At 38.8% G+C, this 19,600-nt stretch overlaps 1 annotated feature.

Moving 5' to 3' along the window:
• Nucleotides 18,625-18,919: an enhancer, noted in NCBI's record as "tiled region #7030; HepG2 Activating non-DNase unmatched - State 24:Quies, and K562 Activating non-DNase unmatched - State 23:Low". NCBI's record gives its function as "activates a minimal TATA promoter and a strong SV40 promoter by Sharpr-MPRA in HepG2 and K562 cells {active_cell/tissue: HepG2 | K562}" and the evidence as "EXISTENCE:reporter gene assay evidence [ECO:0000049][PMID:27701403]".

Here is a 19,600-nt window from a genome sequence, read left to right on the forward strand (position 1 = left end):
CAACAAAGAATAATCATTTACCAGCTTAAGTAGGACAGTGATTAAAGGTGTTAGTTATTGGAAAGTATTGAATTGGTCTGGTTCTTGCTATGAATTCCAAGTATGATTTGAAAATGAACTTACGCCCTCAACTACACTCAAACACTAGTCACTTGAATTAATTCAGAATTAAAACACACAAATGATTTACTTGGATGGAATAAGCATAAGCTAGCTTCTTAAGGGTTCTTTCCTGCTGTGAACATTGACTAGAGTCCTTAGAACAGAAAGTATTCAGACTTGATTCTACTGAAAATTGCAAAATGACATTGGTGGGCATTCAGTTGTTACTTATGACATACCTTGTAATAAATTGCCCTGTTTATAAATTTAATATTTCATAATCCAAATGTCCATGAATGGATGACTAGTTGATGAAATTATAATATGTCTAGATAACATACCATATAATATACTTGTTTAAAATGAGGTATACACAATGAGATACCATCTCACACTTGTCAGAATGGCTATTATTAAAAGTCAAAAAATAACATGCTGGTGAGATTGCAGAGAAAAGGGAATGCTTATACACTGCTGGTGGGAGGGTAAACTAGTTCAACCATTATGGAAAGCAATGTAGTGATTCCTCAAAGAACTAAAAATAGCAGTATCATTTGACCCAGTAATCCCACTACTGGGTATATACCCGAAGGCATATAAATCATTCTACCAGAAAGACACATGCACACATATGTTCAATGCAGCACTGTTCACAACAGCAAAGCTCTAAATGCTCATGAACAGTAGACTGGATAAAGAAAATGTGGTACATATACACTGTGGAATACTATACAGTCATAAAAAAAGAATGAGATCATGTCCTCTTCAGGAACATGGATGAAGCTGGAGGCCGTTATCCTTAGCAAACTAACACGGGAACAGAAAACCAAATACTGCATGTTCTCACTTATAAGTGGGCGCTAAATAGAACTTACAGACACAAAAAGGGGAACATTGGGACCTTCTTGAGGTAGGAGGTTGGGAAGAGAGAGAGGATCAGAAAGAAAAAGAAACTGTCAGGTACTACGCTTAGTACCCAGGTGATGAAATAATCTGTACACCAGACCTCTGAGTCATGAGTTTAACTATATATCAAACCTGCACATGTACCCCTGAACCTAAAAGCTAAACTATTTTTAAAAATTTAAAACATAAAAATGAGGTATATCTATATATACTAATGAGGTATTACTAAGTGAAGAGAGAGAGAGACAGTATGGGAGTACACACTGGGGGAGAGGGGGAGAGAGAGAGAGAGAAAGATTAGATAGATGATAGATAGATAGATAGATAGATAGATAGATAGATAGATAGATAGACAGAGATCTTTTTTTTTCAGGGGTTACTTCTCCATGGTAAAAATATTGAGTGTTTTATTTTTAAGTTTCTTCAGTCTTTATATTTTTTACAGTGTCCAGTTGTAGCACAGAGAAACAGGAGATAAATAAATAAGGTTTGTATTTATCATGGCCAGCAGAGAATCTCAAAGCTTAACCAAAAGTTTGTATTGTTCCTTGGATGAATCCTGTTTGTTATTTAAGCTTGTCTGAAAACTCGCTATTGCATGGATTTTTGTGCTTCCCTTGTGCCTAACATTTCCTGATTCTCAGTTAAAACTACATTTGCAGCAGAGTGTCCTGTGTCCAAACCAGACTGTGGTTTGCAGCAGTGGTGACCGAGTAATCCCTGTAGAAATCAATCAGTGTGAGTTGATCATCAAGATGGCTCATGTCTGACTGAAGAAGGAGATGCATTTCTTTCCTGGGGTGAGCAGGGATGCTCAGAAGAGGGATGACAGGAGATGAATGGGATGGGATGGAGTCTGTGCCCTTCACAGTCCAAGGCTCTGGTTCTGAATCATAATGGAGAGAAGGTTTAACCATATAACTGAAGGGCATGGAGAAGTCTACTCTATCCCGCAACAGACCAAAAGACCACCATGTAGAACTGACATTGTTCCCGGAGGCATTCTCCTGGCAGCCAAAGGAGCTTAGCGAGGAGACGAGCAGAAATTTTGAGTGGACAAGCTTCTAAATACAAGCAAACACTACCTTAGGGATGCCTGAAATAAGAAGGGAGATTCCAGGGAGGGAATGGGGAGACAACAGCTACCATGGTTTGGGCATCAATGTTAACACAGCTGCATCTGTGGTGAAGGCATGAGGGAGGCTATGTGGGGTTCACTATCAAACAGGGTTATCAGGAATTAGTGAGCCTGTCCAAGAGTATGGGTCCATATCTCTTTTCTTGCTGGGAGATTCCATTACATATTCCTCATGTCCATATTTCTGGCCCCTTAAAAAACAGTAAACTTAAAAAATCGTTTACTGTATTTATAGGACTACATTCCGATTTAGGTCAGAACTTCTTTAACCAATCCTGAAGGCTGTCAAAATACTTGGTTTCTCTTTTTACATTCAAATTACTCCATGCTAATGTCAGAAAAACTCATGGAATCTTCAATTTATCTTTGAGTTTTGATCTAATTTTATGTGAAAAATTTCCACTTGATAGTGCGATTTTTAAAAACTGTCCTCTTTGGGCATTTAATCAAACACTGATCACATAAGGGCTCATTTTTTCAAAGAACAGACCCATGAACTGAGAATCCTTGCAAATGTACTTGATTTTAAGTGAAATGGCTGGCCATTCTGAAATAAGAATAGTAGGGTTTTTAAAAAACAGAGGTTTAATGACATTTGTCACATGCCTGCATTCAAGTACTAGGCTGTAACTTTTAGCAAAACTAAGTCTTTAAGAATGTGCCATAAGCTCTACTGGAAAGAATATAAATAATGGAAGCCGGAGCCTAGAAAATGGCAAGCTGGCTCAGCCTCCTGTAGCATCATTCATTAGATCCAACTCCAAAAGCTAGAAGTCATAAAAAAATGCATGCAGGATTTCTTTTTAAGCATTAACACACCACTACTTTAAATGTTGTTTCTGACTGAGAAATTCCTCTCTGCAGGTACTTTTTACCCCTGTAACCTCAGCAAACTGCCAGGGCCTCAGGAGACTAAACAAACGGCCAACTTAAAAATTCATTATAGTATCTGCTCCCTTTCCAAGACATAAAATATACTCTGTAATATTTGCTCTTCTGAATCCTGAGACTTTAATCTTCAAGGCTTCGTGTGCTTGTATGACACCATCTCTTGTCCATTATTTTTAAAAACACATCATATCTGAAAGTTTTAAAACGAGAAGTGAAAATGCCGCTAGTCAGCATATTAATTTCCCTGAAATAAGCAATATCAGTAGTGATGACAAAAGTTACATCAATGCACCAGATTCCTGGGAAGGAAGTGTGAAATGCTAAACTACATAGTTCGCAGTTACCAACCAATGGTAGCAAATGGATGATAAAATCCAGGGGCATGAACTCACTGTTAGAAGTCCATGAACAGAAGAAATTCAATTTCATACAGCTACGAAGATAACATAAAATTATCAAGTATATAATATAAAAGTGTGATGGTCAGGCACCATTTTGAAAACATAAAGACTAGCCATCTGGGCAAAGGCCCAGACTTAGTACAGATAAAGCAAGTGGCTGCTTACCTTATCACATCTCAAAGACTTCTAAAAAGGGCCCATGAACTCAAGATGGCTATAGCTCAAGTAGGCGTAGGCAAGACTTCTGCACTGCAGAATGGGCACATAGAAAAAGAAGGAAACGAGCAACCAGAATGAAGGAAACTGACCCAGCCAAAGAGCAAAGAGGAATTCCTGAGAAAGTGATAAAAGAGTGAAAAATAGAGGTTATTGACATTATTTCATTTTAAAATAATTCCTTAGGGTGTAGGTCATGATTAAGAACCAGCTTTTCTTTCTCAGAAAACTTGGGGCTGAATTCCTAAGTGAATTCAGTTCAAAGTATTTGTCTAAAATTTAGTCTGTGGCAAATATAGTAGAAATGGGTTAAATGAATTAAAGAATTGAAAGGACTAACAAAAAATCATAGATTATTTATGGATAATGTTTCTGTTCTAAAGAAATATAGCACTTTTTTGAACGCAGTAAGAGAACAGAGGCAAAGAGAACAATTTGATTAGACAGAGTTACAAGAAAAGCCCCCAAAACTCCAAGAGTTTAGCCAATAATCATAACCCATTATGAATTAAATCAGAAATAAGCAAAGTCACTTCAAAGGGATGGAATGGCTAATTTAAGAGTATGATCTGACTATAACTTCACCTTGATGATATTGGTATATGTCATGAAAGAATGTGTCACTCAGAAGAGCAATCAGTCTCAAAACACAGGACATGGGGACTTAGAGTTAGCAATCAGTTCCCAGCACTGGTGAGACACTGAATTTGGAAATACAGTGGCTTCACTCTCGAAGTGCTCTTAGCTACAGGGCTTAGATTTCTACCAGGTAGCCCCTTGGCCTGGATAAAAGATCCCTTAAAACCACTTACATAACTTTACTTCAATTCTGTCTTCACTTAGCAAGCTCCCAACTGTTAATTCAACCTCTCAGTCACCCTGATACTGGAAGGGTTCATTAGATGATAAAAATGATAATTTTAGTAACTGGAAAGAGATATTCTCCATAAAAATTAATAAATCAACAATCAGATTTATACACCATTTGCTCATAAGTTAATATGAACCTGTCTTCTCCTCTTGTCTCAGGTAGCATCCTGTGAGACACTGACACAGAAACTTCCAGAATTGCAAATTTAATATCAGACCCAGATGATGGGAATTCCACCACCCCATGAGTCAGCTTGGCTGCCAGTTAGCTAGCCCCCTTAAGTGGCTCTACCCCTTCATGTTATTAAAAAAAAAAGAAACATATGGTGGAGCACAGTGGCTCACATCTGTAATCCCAGCACTTTGGGAGGTGGAGGCGGGCAGATCACTAGAGGTCAGGAGTTTGAGACCAGCCTGGCCAACATGGTGATACTCTGTCTCTACTAAAAATACAAAAAATTAAGTGGGTGTGGTGGCGCTTACCTGCAGTCATAGCCACTCCGGGGGCTGAGGTATAAGAATTGCTTGGACCTGGGAGGCAGAGGTTGCAGTGAGCTGAGATTTCGCCATTGTACTCCAACCTGGGTGACAGAGCAATACTCTGCCTCAAAAAAAAAAAAAAAAGAAAGAAACGTGTAAGAATACATGATTCACTTCATATCCTGTGAATTTAGTACTAGATGATTACATGAGTCAGAACTCAACTATGTACATCAATAACTAGTATTAAGTTCGTTAGATTGTGCAAGGAGAGATACTATATCTTTTTCTATTGTGGGCCATCACGCAGTGTCTGACATTTTAGGAACACATGAAGTATTTTTCAAATAAAAAAAATTTTAAGAAAGGAAAGGAGATGAAGCAAAAATAATCCAGTTTCTTTCCAGAAGATTAAGCTACTGATGAGACATGATGACTTTCATATGATTTACATCAAGTGGTTTCCTTCCTTTTGAGGAGCTATTCAAAAAACTTTTGGAGGATAGAGAGAACTATGAAAATAAGTCAATCATATAATTGGACTGTTCCTTATGGTACAAGGGTGGGAAGATGTAAGTTGGTCCTGCTTCAATATAAACATAAATTAAGGTTATCTTAAGATTATTTCCTGTTTATATTTACTATCCTGCTTGAAGAAAAGAGATAACTGAAAGTCCACTGTGTTTGTCTATTATATGACTCAGGTATACACAGTCTACAGAGCTAAGTTTCAACAAAAAAATATAATGTTGAAGAAAGAGAGACTAATAACCCACAAAAAGGTGATAAACAGCTATGCCGATGTTGTCCTTATGCTCTCTGAGGGAAGAGATGAGATAAGCCATAGTAGATCAATCAGGACATTGAAACCCTTGTTATGGAGACTCAGCAAGCCTTTTGCACACACTATAGACACTGCTGCGTCATCTTGAATTATGCAGTGTGTAAGTATTAAGAGCTGCCTAACATCTAAGCTAGTCCTATGCTGTTATAAGGTCAGAGATCAGGGTCCGAAAAACGGACTTATTAAAATTTAGTGAGGACATCATGCTAAGTGAAATAAGCCCATCACAAAAGGACAAACCCTGTATGATTCCTCTTATATGATGTACTTAGAGTAGTCAAATTCATAGAGAAAGAAAGCAGAATAGAGGTTACCGGGGGTTTGGGGAAAGGAAAATGGGAGGTTAATGGGTACAGATGTCATTTGGAATGACAAGTTCTGGAGATGGATGGTGTTGATGGCTGCACAATATGAATGTACTTAATACCACTGAACTGTATACTTAAAATGGTTTAAATGGTCAATTTTATGTTGTGTATATTTTACCACAATAAAAAAAATCTAGGCCGGGCACAGTGGCTCACGCCTGTAATCCCAGCACTTTGGGAGGCCAAGGCAGGTGGATCACGAGGTCAGGAGTTCAAGACCAGCCTGGCCAACATGGTGAAACCCCGTCTCTACAAAAAATACAAAAAAATTAGCCGAGCATGGGAGCGGGCACCTGTAATCCCAGCTACACTCCAAGCTGCACTCCAGCTTGGCAACAGAATGAGACTCCATCTCAAAATAAATAAATATATTTATATATTCAAAATAAATAAATATATTTATATATTCAAAATAAATAAATATATTTTATATATCTAAAATAAATAAATATATTTATTTATATATCTAAAATAAATGAATATATTTATTGATATATCTAAAATAAATAAATATATTTATTTATATATCTAAAATAAATAAATATACTTATTTATATATTTAAAATAAATAAATAAATATATATATAGTGAGTAAAAAAATATTGTGAAGGCACAATTTGAATGGGGTGAAATCAGCCACCCAGATGCAGCAACCTCTTCTTCCCACTCGGACGCCTGGCATATTAAAATGCTCTGAGAATTAGTCTTCCATTATGACCCTTAAGCATAGTTAGAATGTCCCTCTCTTACTGGAAATAAATGATTCTAAGAACTCAAGCATCTGCCGCTAATAGCCATTGCCTTCATTTACGGAGGGCAAGTTTTGCGCTAGTACAGATCCCTTTACATAAGCCATTTCTTTGGAATGAGATTCCACACCCTTGTGTTCTTGCCCTGGCTTGACTCTTCAGCCTCACTTTTCTCCAGCTCTATGTCCAGTTGCTGCATTTCCCTAGAATGTACCACAACACAATCTTTTGCCCCTCCAGCTCTATACACATAGACACACACACACACACACACACACACACACACACACACACACACGGCTTTTCTTGTATATGTGGTTCCCTCCTCCTTTCATTTAGCCAACTCTGGTGCATCCGGCTGACTTCAGTTCAAGACTTCAGCTTCCTTTGATAAACATCCTGATCACCACAGGAACCACTGTTCCTCAGACCTGGCTCCACGTTAGAATCACCTGGGGCAGCTGAAAAATTACTGACCCCTGGCTACACTTCCAGAAATTTATTTAACTGGTCTGTGACCAGGGCATTGTTCGTTTGTTTACAAAACAAAACAAAAATGAAAAACGTCTCTATGAGATCTTATTCAACAATGGAGGCAGAGAACCACTGGCCTAAAATGGGGTATTTTCCCCCTCACCACCTGATGCCTCTCATGCTTCTCCCTATCTTAGCCCACATCTTATTTTATTAAAATCACTTGTTAGTTTAGGCCTCCCCTTTGAAGCTCAAGTTTACCATCATATTCACAGGGCCTAGAACAGCACCCAGCACACTGTAAGGGCTCAACTACTGTGAACAAATGTGAACCAGAAAGAGCCAGTCCTGCAAGATGGATTCCAAATAGCTAACTGGGCCTAAATTTAAAACAGAGCCAAGCAGCCACTTGCTGACTAAAGGTCACACACACACTTTGAGCTCCCTGAAAACCCACACCTCTGCTCAACTTTGGGACTTTCAGAGCTCACCTGAACCAACCAAACAGGGCTCAGCTGTATCAGCCAATCAGAACTAAGAGCATTTTAACCCTTAATTTGCATAAATGGATCTGATTGAGAACCTGAGCAGGAACTTTTGCTATAAAATCCAAACCCTCCCTTTGTTCTCTGGAACACACCTTTGTTTTACACCAGGCTGTTACACCAGGCTGTGTCACCCCAGTTTGCACTGGAATGAAGTCTCTTTCCTCCAAATTCATTTTCAAATAACTTTTGTTTACATTACCTTGAGTTGCTTTCTTGAATTAATTTTGTACCCACTAAATGAGGCTCAGAGAGGCTAAATCATTTACCCAAAGTCACACAACAATTGAACAGCAGAGTAAGGACTAGAATTTAGCTCTCTCTGACTACAAAACTCTGTTTACTACACCACACTGCTTTCTGGCTTCTTGAATAAGTTGCTCGTAATGAAATGAGTTATTCCTACTGAACAAGTTCAAAATAAAGATGAAACCAGAAGTGTGCTGTGAATAACTGGATGACACACATCCAAAGATCACTCAATTTCCTAAGTACTCAGGGACAAGCTTTTGTAAAATCTGGACCTCAGATGAACAATCAGCAACATACTCCCGAACAGGCTTAATCACCACTCTCAGAGGGACATTTATTTCTCAGTGCTTAGAACTCTTTTTTCTAGTACTCTAGATCCATTAAAACCTAAAATGGTTTGGATGTATCAAGTTTCTGAGTAAACAACAACAAACAAAACAAAACCAGGAAGAGAAAATTGTGAATTGTAACGGCCACTGTAACTTTCTTAGGCAACCACACCAGTACTGCTGACAGCCACTCACTCAATTTTAGATAGGACCTGTTATGCATGTGTTCAAAATACAAAACTAGGACTTCAAGTTTCCTGTGGCCACTCAGTCTCTGCCACAGTATGTGTTTTCCCACAAAGGCAGACACTGCTGAAACTGCCCCACTGCCTGTCTACAGCAGAGCGCACACCATGGCTCTAGATGCACCAGCATGAAGCTGCTTTCCAAAATACAGGCAGTTGTTGACATCTGAGGTTTGCTAATGTCCTGAGATGAACTTCCACCGCTGAGGTTTCCCTGACTGCTCAGGAGAGGAGCTTGGCTGCCAAGTGCCAGATGGCATAGAAGTGCCAACTGCTTACTTCTCAGTACCCAACCCCAGCTTTTATTATGGAAAATTTTAAAGCATATACAATAGTAAGTAAACGCTTCTACCCACTATGGAACCAGATAGTAAGCATAGAGTGTACGAGTCTTTGATTAAGACGGTGAGTCAGGGCCAGGTGGCTCAGGCCTGTAATACCAGCACTTTGGGAGGCCAAAGTGGGCAGATCCCTTGAGCCCAGAGGTTCAAGACCAGCCTGGGCAACATGGTGAAACCCCATCTCTACAAAAAATACAAAAATTAGTCGATTGTAGTGGCATGCGCCTGTAGTCCCAGCTACTTGGGAGGCTGAGGTGGGAGGATCGCTTGAGTGTGGGAGATACAGGCTGCAGTGAGCCGTGACTGTGCCACTGCACTTCAGCCAGGGTGTTAGAGTGAGACCTTGTCTCAATTAAAATAATAATAATAATAATATGGTGAATCAGGCTACAATCCTAGGTTTGCACAGTGTTCTAGTGGCATATTTGTCAGATGGGCCACTTGGCACTTGGCACAAATGAATAAATATACCTTATTTTATTTTATTTTATTTTATTTATTTTATTTTATTATCCTGGAAGTCTCACAACCATTTCTCCAAGCTTGCCGGTGTAATCTTTTGGAACTTTATGGGGAGGCCTATAGCTTTCATTGCATCACTCACTGGGAATAACTTAACAGACAGAAAATCATAGTGGTTACAAGTAGAAGCTTTGGTCAGGTACTCTGGGTGTACCCTGGGTGAGTCCCAGTTCCACTACTTATTAATCTTGTGAACCTTGAACAATTTGTTTTAACATCTCTTAGCTTCCTTTCCTTCATCTATGAAAGGTAAAAAGAAAAGTAGCTAATAGGGTTATTGAGAGAATTAAATGAGATAATACAAGTAAAATACTTAGAACAATGCAGTTTGGCTTTTTTAAAATAAGTGTTCCATAAATGGCAGTGGTGGATACTGTGAGTTACAGCTGTGTTCATTCCTATAATCTTTTCCTACTTGGTCTTGGTTTTATTAAAGGCCTCCGCCCTAGCAGCCGTTCCCTGGGGTCCCATGGTGTCTCATGACCATAGCCACTTCACATACATTTCTCGCTGTAATGTTCAAAGAGCCTACAGATGGCTGAGTGAGTTGTATAATCAAAGTAGCTCTGATGTCAGGGGATGGTGAAGTCACTCTGGCCTGAATATATGGAACGCTTGGTGCAGGAGATGAAACTTTTAAAGTTAATTTAATTTAATTTAATTATATTTTACCCCAATCCCTAGTATTTGTTGGATTCATTAAAAATACACATAATACAATGGTGAAAATAAACAGGTTAGAGTCAGAGAGAGGGGAGAATACAGACAGGGAAATAGAAAGCTAGCTATAGTATTTCACCAAACTGTGTCCCAGGAAATCTTAGGCTTGATGTGTGCAAATCAGGACGTAAATATCCTCTTACCAAAGCAAAGAAGGAAAATATAATCAATTGCAAAACTCATATATGTCAATATATATCTCATATGCCAGGCACTGTTGTAAACATTTCATCTATACTAGCTCACTTAATGGTCACTGTTAACACTCTATCAATTGGTGTTGTTTTTGCTGTTTTTATGGATGGGAAACTGAGGCTCAGAAGGTGAAATAAGTGGCCCCGTGTTCACTGTGGCTGCACTGAAATTTGAACCCTGGTAGCCTGGGTTCAAGACCCATGCTTTTAAGGCCTGGACAATACTGTTCTGATAGACAATGTGGCATAGAAAATAGCAAACAAGCAGTGTAGAGAAAGCATTTGTTATCACTGAGATCTGAGTCCCCAAAAAGACAAAACAGTTAACAAAGCATACTAGTTTCCAGATTTGAAGATTTCCCAGATCAATTAAAATATTTTTTAAATGGTGGGGGATAGAGGGATATTATGTACAATTGGCAACCTCTTTTTTGTTTGTACGTGCCAAGTAAAAGCATTAAAATAACTACCAGGGTTGGGAAAACTGGCTAGCCATATGCAGAAAACTGAACAGAAAACCAAACACTGCATGTTCTCATTCATAAGTGGGAATTGAACAACGAGAACACATGGATACAGGGAGGGGAACATCATACACAGGGGCCTGTCGGGAGGTGGGGGGCTAGGAGAGGGAGAGCATTAAGACAAATACCTAATGTAGATGACAGGTTGATGGGTGCAGCAAACCACCATGGCACATGTATACCTATGTAACAAACCTGCACGTTCTGCATACGTATCCCAGAACTTAAAGTACAAAAAAAAAAAAAAAAAAAAAGAAAAGAAAAAAAAAAGAAAGAAAGAAAAGCTACCAGGAGCATCAACATAGCTCCTCACAAAATAAATGACCTTGACTAGGCTTGGTGACTCATGCCTATAATCCCAGCACCTGGGGAGGCCGAGATGGGTGGATCACCTGAGGTCATGAGTTCGAGACCAGCCTGGCCAACATGGTGAAACCCGGCATCTACTGAAAATACAAAAAAATCAGCTGGGCATGGTGATGGGTGCCTATAATCCCACCTACTCAGGAGGCTGAGGCAGAAGAATCACTTGAACACGGGAGGTGGAGGTTGCCGTGAGCCAAGATTGTGCCATTACACTCCAGCCTGGGCAACAGAGGGAGACTCTGTCTCAAAGAACATAAATAAATAATTAAATAAATAAATAAATTTAGGCACTGAAATATATATATACACACACATACATACTATATATATATACACATATATATATACACACATATATATACACATATATATATACACATATATATGCACACACATATACACACACACACAAAGAGCATACTCTAAAAACTAAAGGACCTTGCTTTAAAAATGTGAATAAATTCAGCTTTGTGAAAAATATACACATACACTGTCCATATCATTCTCATTTTACCTGTTTGGTGAAGACCAATTGGAGAAACTCAGTGATGCATTTGAGAATCGCTGACAGTCTCCCCCCGGATTACCTCTGTGACCTCAGAACACCAAGGGCCTACGGCAGAACTGAGGGCTCCATTCTTCTGGTTGGTCTCAAAATTAGGTTCTTAAGAACCAGATGATGTGATCAGATCAGAAAACACAGAAGGTCTGCGAAGAGCAGCCTGAGAGGAAGCCCATGGTTCGTGATTATCATACAAGGTGTACACGGTACTCAAAATATGAGCACATCCCTGCCGTGGCTGAGATACGCCACAGTGACACTTAGTGTGAGGACATCATTTCAGTCTTGAATGAAAGCTATGACTGTTACTTTTAAAAGGATATGAAATGCAAAACGAAAATATAAGATTAACCCTAGGAACATTATTAGATTTTCCTGATGCTAACAGATTGGCAGCATTTTTTTTCTATTTTGTTTGGTAAAAAATTTGAGTTGCTTATAAATTTATTCTAAAACTCACTGGACACTTTCAGAGGCTGAAGCGAGCAGCCCCAGTGTTTAGGGAGTTGTATTTACAATACCTACCTACTGTTCCTCTATTTCCATTAGAATGCAATTATCCTGCTTGGGGAAAAATAAAGGTCACTGGGTTAATGGAGCTCACCTTTCTTTTTTAGTCCATAAATAATAAATCAAATATAATATTTAAAAAGAAAACCACATCCTATATATCACTGTATTTCTGATGTTTTTTTCATAGGACATTTGAGTATATGGTGCTTACTCTGGCCATAATAGTTGCAGTCCAGCAAGTTCTTACAGCACTGGTTCAGTAAAGAAGAATATAGAATGCATCTATTAAGTTGATATTCATAGATACTAAAATGTTCCAGAAATTTCTCATGATACTTTCAAATCAGATTACTGTACATTCTACTCTGAATTTGAGGAGCATGTCACAGAATGATTTACATACAGAAAAACTCATGAACTTTATCTGATAAGTATTGACAAAAGTATCCATTTGAAAAATTCAAATCATTATAGATTCAAACACATTCTGGGCTTCCATAATGGCCTACTGAGAGTAGAGAGTAGACAGTACTTATGACCACACTAATACTAATAAATATCTCTAGGCAAGATTCTGTTGCTCCTAGGTTCCCTAATGAAAAACACAAAGACTTTCCTCCCAGTTAAATAGCTGAATAGGGCTCTCGGCCCAAAGAAGTCTAATCAATGCTTTCACTTCAGTTTCCCAAGGGATCAACTAAGCAATCCCTCCCGTACCTGGCACATCAAGATTTATAAGGCAGAGGAGGAATGCATGGCCTAAATAGCTTCAGAAAGCCATTTGTCATGAGTAATAAAAAAAACACCTTAGAGTAGCTGCTGTTAGATCACCATTACCCTCAAACTAAGGCTGCATGTCTCACGAGATTTATCTGATAAATATTTTTAAATAAAAAGGAATTATAGTACACTCCTGAGCCTGCTATAAAAATTGTTAAACACTTGTAATTACTCCCCAAAAATAATAAAAATGAAAAACTCTGCTTTCCACTTGACACAGGCTTGTGCAACAAAAACCACTGTGATTGTCAAACAACAGAGTCACACACAGCTCCTGCTTCATTAAGTGTTCCAGCAGCATCATAGCATGGCCCTGGGAAGAGGTATTTTAACTTTAAATTATAAACCTACCAATGAACCAGTCAACCATTTTCCTAAACAACACAGCACTTATAGTCACTTGACAATTTTTTTTAATTTGATGAACATGTTTGCCATCAACAGCGTCGTTATTCTTTATTATAATTAACAACAACAACTAATAGTAATAATACTATTTGTTCAGTTTTGTTCTTCCAGGTACTAATCAAACAGATTTACATGGATTATCCTGAAAACATCTTATGGTCTGTGGCAATCTGTTGTCAAACTAAGGTTACTGATGTACCAGCACAAAGCATCAAGATCTAACACTATGCCATAGACAAATTTTTTGTTAGTATTCATTCTCAATGTAAATATTTTCGGCTTTGGCATTTATCAAGGTTTCCCAAAAAGGTTTTCTTAAAATAGTAGATGTTTTTAGGACTATGATCAGATATTTACCTCTTTACTTATTACCAGAAGTTTTACATCTGTTTCACATAAAATTGAAGTAGGTAGATTGGCATTAATTGAAAGGCAGTTTTCCTGAAAAATAAAAACAAATGCCTCTCTTCTAGAATTATTTCAGCTCTGACATTATTCTTATAATAAACTCTGGGAAACTGGAATTATAAGTATGCATTATTTTAAGCAAATAATTTTTAAAAAATAAATCTTGAGCTTACAGAATTAAGAAATATGAACTGTTTGGACTTTACTTTCAAATAATTCATCAGCCTTGGCAGAACTATTTTCGGCAAACTATTGCACTAAAACAGAATGTCAGGTTGAATGATTCTTTGCTATGGAATGCCTCATGTGTTAAAACAGAAGCATGATCTGTAAGAATACATAATGCTGTGTCCTACCTACATTCAGCACTGTTACTGAGGAAAGGGGGTGCTTTGTTCTGAAGATGACAAGCCTGAAGGGAGAAGCTGACAGAGATCCATGATGCTCAGTGAGGGGGGATAGTGTTAGTGTGACCGTACACAAAATTATAACACTTTTTGTGATTACAAAATTGTTGGGAGGCTGAGGCAGGAGGATTACTTTAGGTCAGGAGTTCGAGACCAGCCCAGGTGGCACACCGAAACCCCATCTCTATAAAACAATTTTTTTAAATAGAGGGTGCGGTGGCTCACGCCTGTAATCCCAGCACTTTGGGAGGTCCAGGCAGGCTGATCACCTGAGGTCAGGAGTTCAAGACCAGCCTGGCCAACATGATAAAACCCCGTCTCTACTAAAAATACAAAAATTAGTGGTATGGTGGCACGTGCCTGTAATCCCCGCTACTCGGGAGGCTGAGGCTGGAAAATTGCTTGAACCCGGGAGGCAGAGGTTGCAGTGAGCCAAGATTGCACCACTGCACTCCAGCCTGGGTGACAGAGCAAGACTCTGTCTCAAAAATCAAACAAACAAACAAACAAAATCCAAGCATGGTGGCATATGCCTGTAGTCCGCTATTTGGGAAGCTGAGGTGGGAAGATTGCTTGATTCCAGGAGTGGAAGGCTGCAGTAAGCTATGATTATACCATGCACTCCAGCCTGGGAAACACAGCAAGACCCTGTCTCTAAAAAAAAATAAAAAATAAATAAATAAAATTGAAAAAGATGTGGCAATAAAGTCTCAAGGTAGGGGTGTCTTAGAGAAAGGAGCATGCTGTGACCTCAAAATTAAAGTTGACAAACACCAATCCAGATGATCTCCAAGTTCCTTTCCTTTAGTTGGAAAACCAATGGCTTGATTTGGCCTCACACAATTGAGGCAGCACAGTGGAGTGAACGAGCAGTAAAATCAGTATTCGGCTCTTATTTCTGCCACTCATCAGCTGTGTAAACAGGAGCGATTTGGTTAACTGCTATGGTTCTCCATTTATGAAGGAGTAAAGTCAAAAGGTTTGTTTAGCTAACCGCTGTGGCTCCATCTCATACTAACAATTGCTGATCCTGGGCAGAACCTTGGAGTCCACAGAGGATCAGAAAGTCCTAAGGGGGCCTCCTGAGCGCTTCCAGCACTATAATGTCTGCCCTGTCACAGGCTGGCCAGCAGTCTCGAGTAGCTGGGATTACAGACACACGCCACCACACCCGGCTAATTTTTGTATTTTTAGTGGAGATGGGGGTTTCCTCATGTTGGCCAGGCTGGTCTCGAACTCCTGACCTCAGGTGATCCGCCTGCCTTGGCCTCCCAAAGTTCTGGGATTACAGGCATGAGCCACTGCACCCGGCTGGGTTTGATTTTTTTTTTTTTTTTTGATTGCTGGAAATACATGATTTGTTTTCTCCTTTGCCCTTCACATTGAATTTGTTACCAATAAAATATCTGGAATCCATCTCCTATTTGGTATCTTGATGGCTAGTGCTTTGGTTCAGGGTCCACTGATGAGTTTCCCAACTGCTCCCCAATTCCATTTTGTCTTCCCTTTGCTAATAGCACCCCCACATCACCACAGTCATCTATTTAGAAGTTAATCTGATCCATCTCCTCCCTACGTAAAAACCCTCAATGAGCTCTACTGCCTGTAGCATTAAGTCCAGAATCTTTAGCATTTTTTCTAATACTGTATCTCACCTTAACTGGCACTTTCAAAATCAACCCCAGCAAATGCTCCCATCTTTCAAGACCTTGTTACTTAGAGGTGTTTGGATCTGAGGATCAGCAAATCCTATCTGACCATGACTCAATATAGAAATGAAATGTTTTATTATTTATATACAAGCTGCTTTCTTAGCCTAAATGTTATCCTTTTTATATAAAATCTTTTACAAGAATATAATTTTTGTAAATAATTAAAAAGAGTTCCTTGAATCAATCACTATTTGGGTATAATTATTTTATTTGTGAATATCACCCTACCTCCAAGGCTACATGGTTTACAACTCATTCATTTAGCTGGTCGATCTTTCATATAACAATAATTTGTGACTCTTATTGTATGTTCTATATGTTGACAAACTACATATTAGGTTATATATTGGTTCTACACTACCAAGTAAAAATGTGCTTTTATTCTAAGTATTTCAATTAGTGAGACATTTGATACTTAAGGACAATACTATAGCATGTTATGTTAATTATTTTTATGCAATATCATACAGATTACATAATTTAATGATGATGAGAGACTGAGAAATTGAGAGACTATTTACCCCTATGAAGTCACCTTCTTCAAACTCACTTAAAATGTCAGAGTTTGAATTTTTGTTTGTGCTTGTATTGCTTGAGATGACCTTTAAATGTCCAGCAAGAATCCAATAGCACTCAAGTGGTAGGTGTCCTTGTCTTAGAACCAGACTTTCAGCTTCATACCTGGAGAGAAAGAATATCAAAAACATTTAGCATGCAAAATGGTTAGGATGAAGTCATTGGTGACAAACAAGACAAAACACAAAACCCTTTCATCTTCATCTGTAAAGAAATTTACGTTTTGTTAAGAAGCAAATATTGTCTTCCTCTGGTACAGACCTTGAAGGCAGGGATTTCAGCCACCTTATCCACTACTGTAGCACCGTGCCTAGAATGGTGCTTGGCCCAGAAAGCAGGGACTCCATCTACATAAATTGAGTGCATTTATGTATAGGCAAAAGGAGGTGCTGTAAAACCACAGAATAGAAGGTCTCCACACACATTTCTTAGATGAGTCCTGCAATTTCACAAAATATAGGCACGTTTTCTAATTGCTACTGCTGAATTCATGATGTAAGGCAAGATTTTTGGTTTTCTAGAGGATAAATTTGGCGTTGGTTTGCACACCTTTTATCAAGACTTTTTTTAAGTACTATCTTCAGCAACAGGTTTGTATATCTGCCAATTCTCCTATTCGTAGGTATTTAGCCAGAGGATGGTCATTTTCCCACCCTTGGTTTATAAAAATAACCTATCCCTGGCAGTAATGCATGCCAAACTAAAATGGGCGTTAAAAGGTCACCTTGGACATTTGATAAAAAACACAGGATTCCTTTGCACCTTGGAAATTCTGATTAGGTAGCTCTGGGGTGGAGCCCAGGAATCTGTATTCCTAAAGGGCTCTCCAGATTATTTTGATGAGGACCATGCTGTGAGAAATGCTGTGTTTGAGGCTAAGAATGAACATTATTGATATCATTTTATTTTTCTTATATGAGTATTATTTTTGTGTGAAGACTGAAACAAATCATGTTGAAATATTGAAATATTGGGAAGTCTGCATAATTTCAGATTTTCAGTTAGTAATTACACTACCCAGAATCCTTTCTTCCTAGAATAGCAATTATAATTTCTATATTCCAAATTAAGCAAAGAGAAATGTTAGTTGAGAAAGAAGATAGCACTATTATATAGCAAAGATACTACCATTCCTGTGTTATCAGTGAGAAGGGCTAAAATGTAGCACTTGACTTGCTACGAATTAACTAAATGATTCTGAGAAGGTCAGGCATGGTGGCTCACACCTGTAATCCCAGCACTTTGGGAGGCCGAGGCAGGAGGATCGCTTTAGCCCAGGAGTTCGAGACCAGTCTGGGCAACATAGTGAGACCCTGTCTCTATAACAAATACAAAAATTAGCTGTGTGGGGTGGCACATACCTGTAGTCCCAGCCACTCGGGAAACTGAGGTAGGAAGACCACTTGAGCCTAGGAGGTCGAGACTGCAGTGAGCCAAGATCACACCACTGCCCTCCAGCCTGGGTGAGAGAATGACACTCTGTCTCAAAAAGAAAGAAAATGATCTTGAGAAAAATCACTTATCCTCCACTTCCAACTCTTCACTTATAAAATGGAAAAAACCTGTATCTACATACTTCTCAAAAATGTTTTAGGAGAAAAAATACAGAATGTATAACAATGACTTGAATTCTTTACAAATAAAGTATCGGGATTTTGCCCTACTTTACTATGTTTGACGATATGAAGGAAACTTAGAAGCAGGAAAACTCCCACCAAAATAACAAGTTAGCCTGCCACAGTTCCATTAATGCTGACTGAAGGCACTAGACCCCTGAGCTAGAGACAAAGGACATTCTTAGCTGCAGCAGAACAGTAATGAGATTTACCAGCATGGTTGCATCAGTTTCTCAAGTCCCAAATCCCATAGGGCAATATGGAGGGCCCAGTAGAGCTTGCAGATACAGCGGGGTGAGTCACAGGAAAGGAATCCAAGCTTAGGGAATGTGTTTTTAAGCAAGCCTATTCTTTGTCCGGAAAAAGCCCAAGTGCAGTGTAAAAACTGCAATGCACCATCATCTCAGAATTACCAGGTACATGAGCAATCCCGAGAAGTGACCCAGGTATAACAGTCAAAGCCCTGGGATGTTGGCAAATGCAGCAAGTTGTGTAGGAGCCCAAGAGGCCCATGGTGGACTGTATCTCAGCAGACAGTGCATAACAATGAAAATGAATACAATTGTTTTAAAAGGTTATGCAGTTACTTAAAGAACTATGATTCTAGTTCCAAAGGAAAAAGATGGAGGAAATTTTACCATGCTATTTTCGCTGCCTTTGGAAAGAGGATCAAAAGATTAAAATGTGGAGACTACTGACTTCCCATTGTTTATGTTCACAGATTCCAATTTTTTGAAAACCACTACTTGAAGCCCATAGACTTGAAAAAAATTATTAAAAATTGCTGAAGTAACTGCCACATCATGTAAATATCCTCAAAATAATGGTTGGTTTCTATGAACTAAGAAGAAAAGAATAGTCCTTTGGACCACTGTGGAATCACGAGAATGAGGCCAATAAGATGTGATAGAAAAAGAAGGAGAAGAGGGCATGTAGAAAGGAAAGGTTACAGAGGGAAGAACTGATATGTGGATGATATTTTTTCCAATAGAAAAAATCCTGGTTTTGAAGACTAAGTTGGGTTTAAAGCATCACAGAAAAAGCAGGACTCCACATCCTGTTTCCTCTCTCTTGTATTGTAAAAGTATGGATGAGGGCCAGTCATTCTCAGCCAGGCTTTGAAGTGCACCATTAGGCTGCC

Source organism: Homo sapiens, chromosome 4 (assembly GCF_000001405.40).
Source record: "Homo sapiens chromosome 4, GRCh38.p14 Primary Assembly".
NCBI lineage: Eukaryota > Metazoa > Chordata > Mammalia > Primates > Hominidae > Homo > Homo sapiens.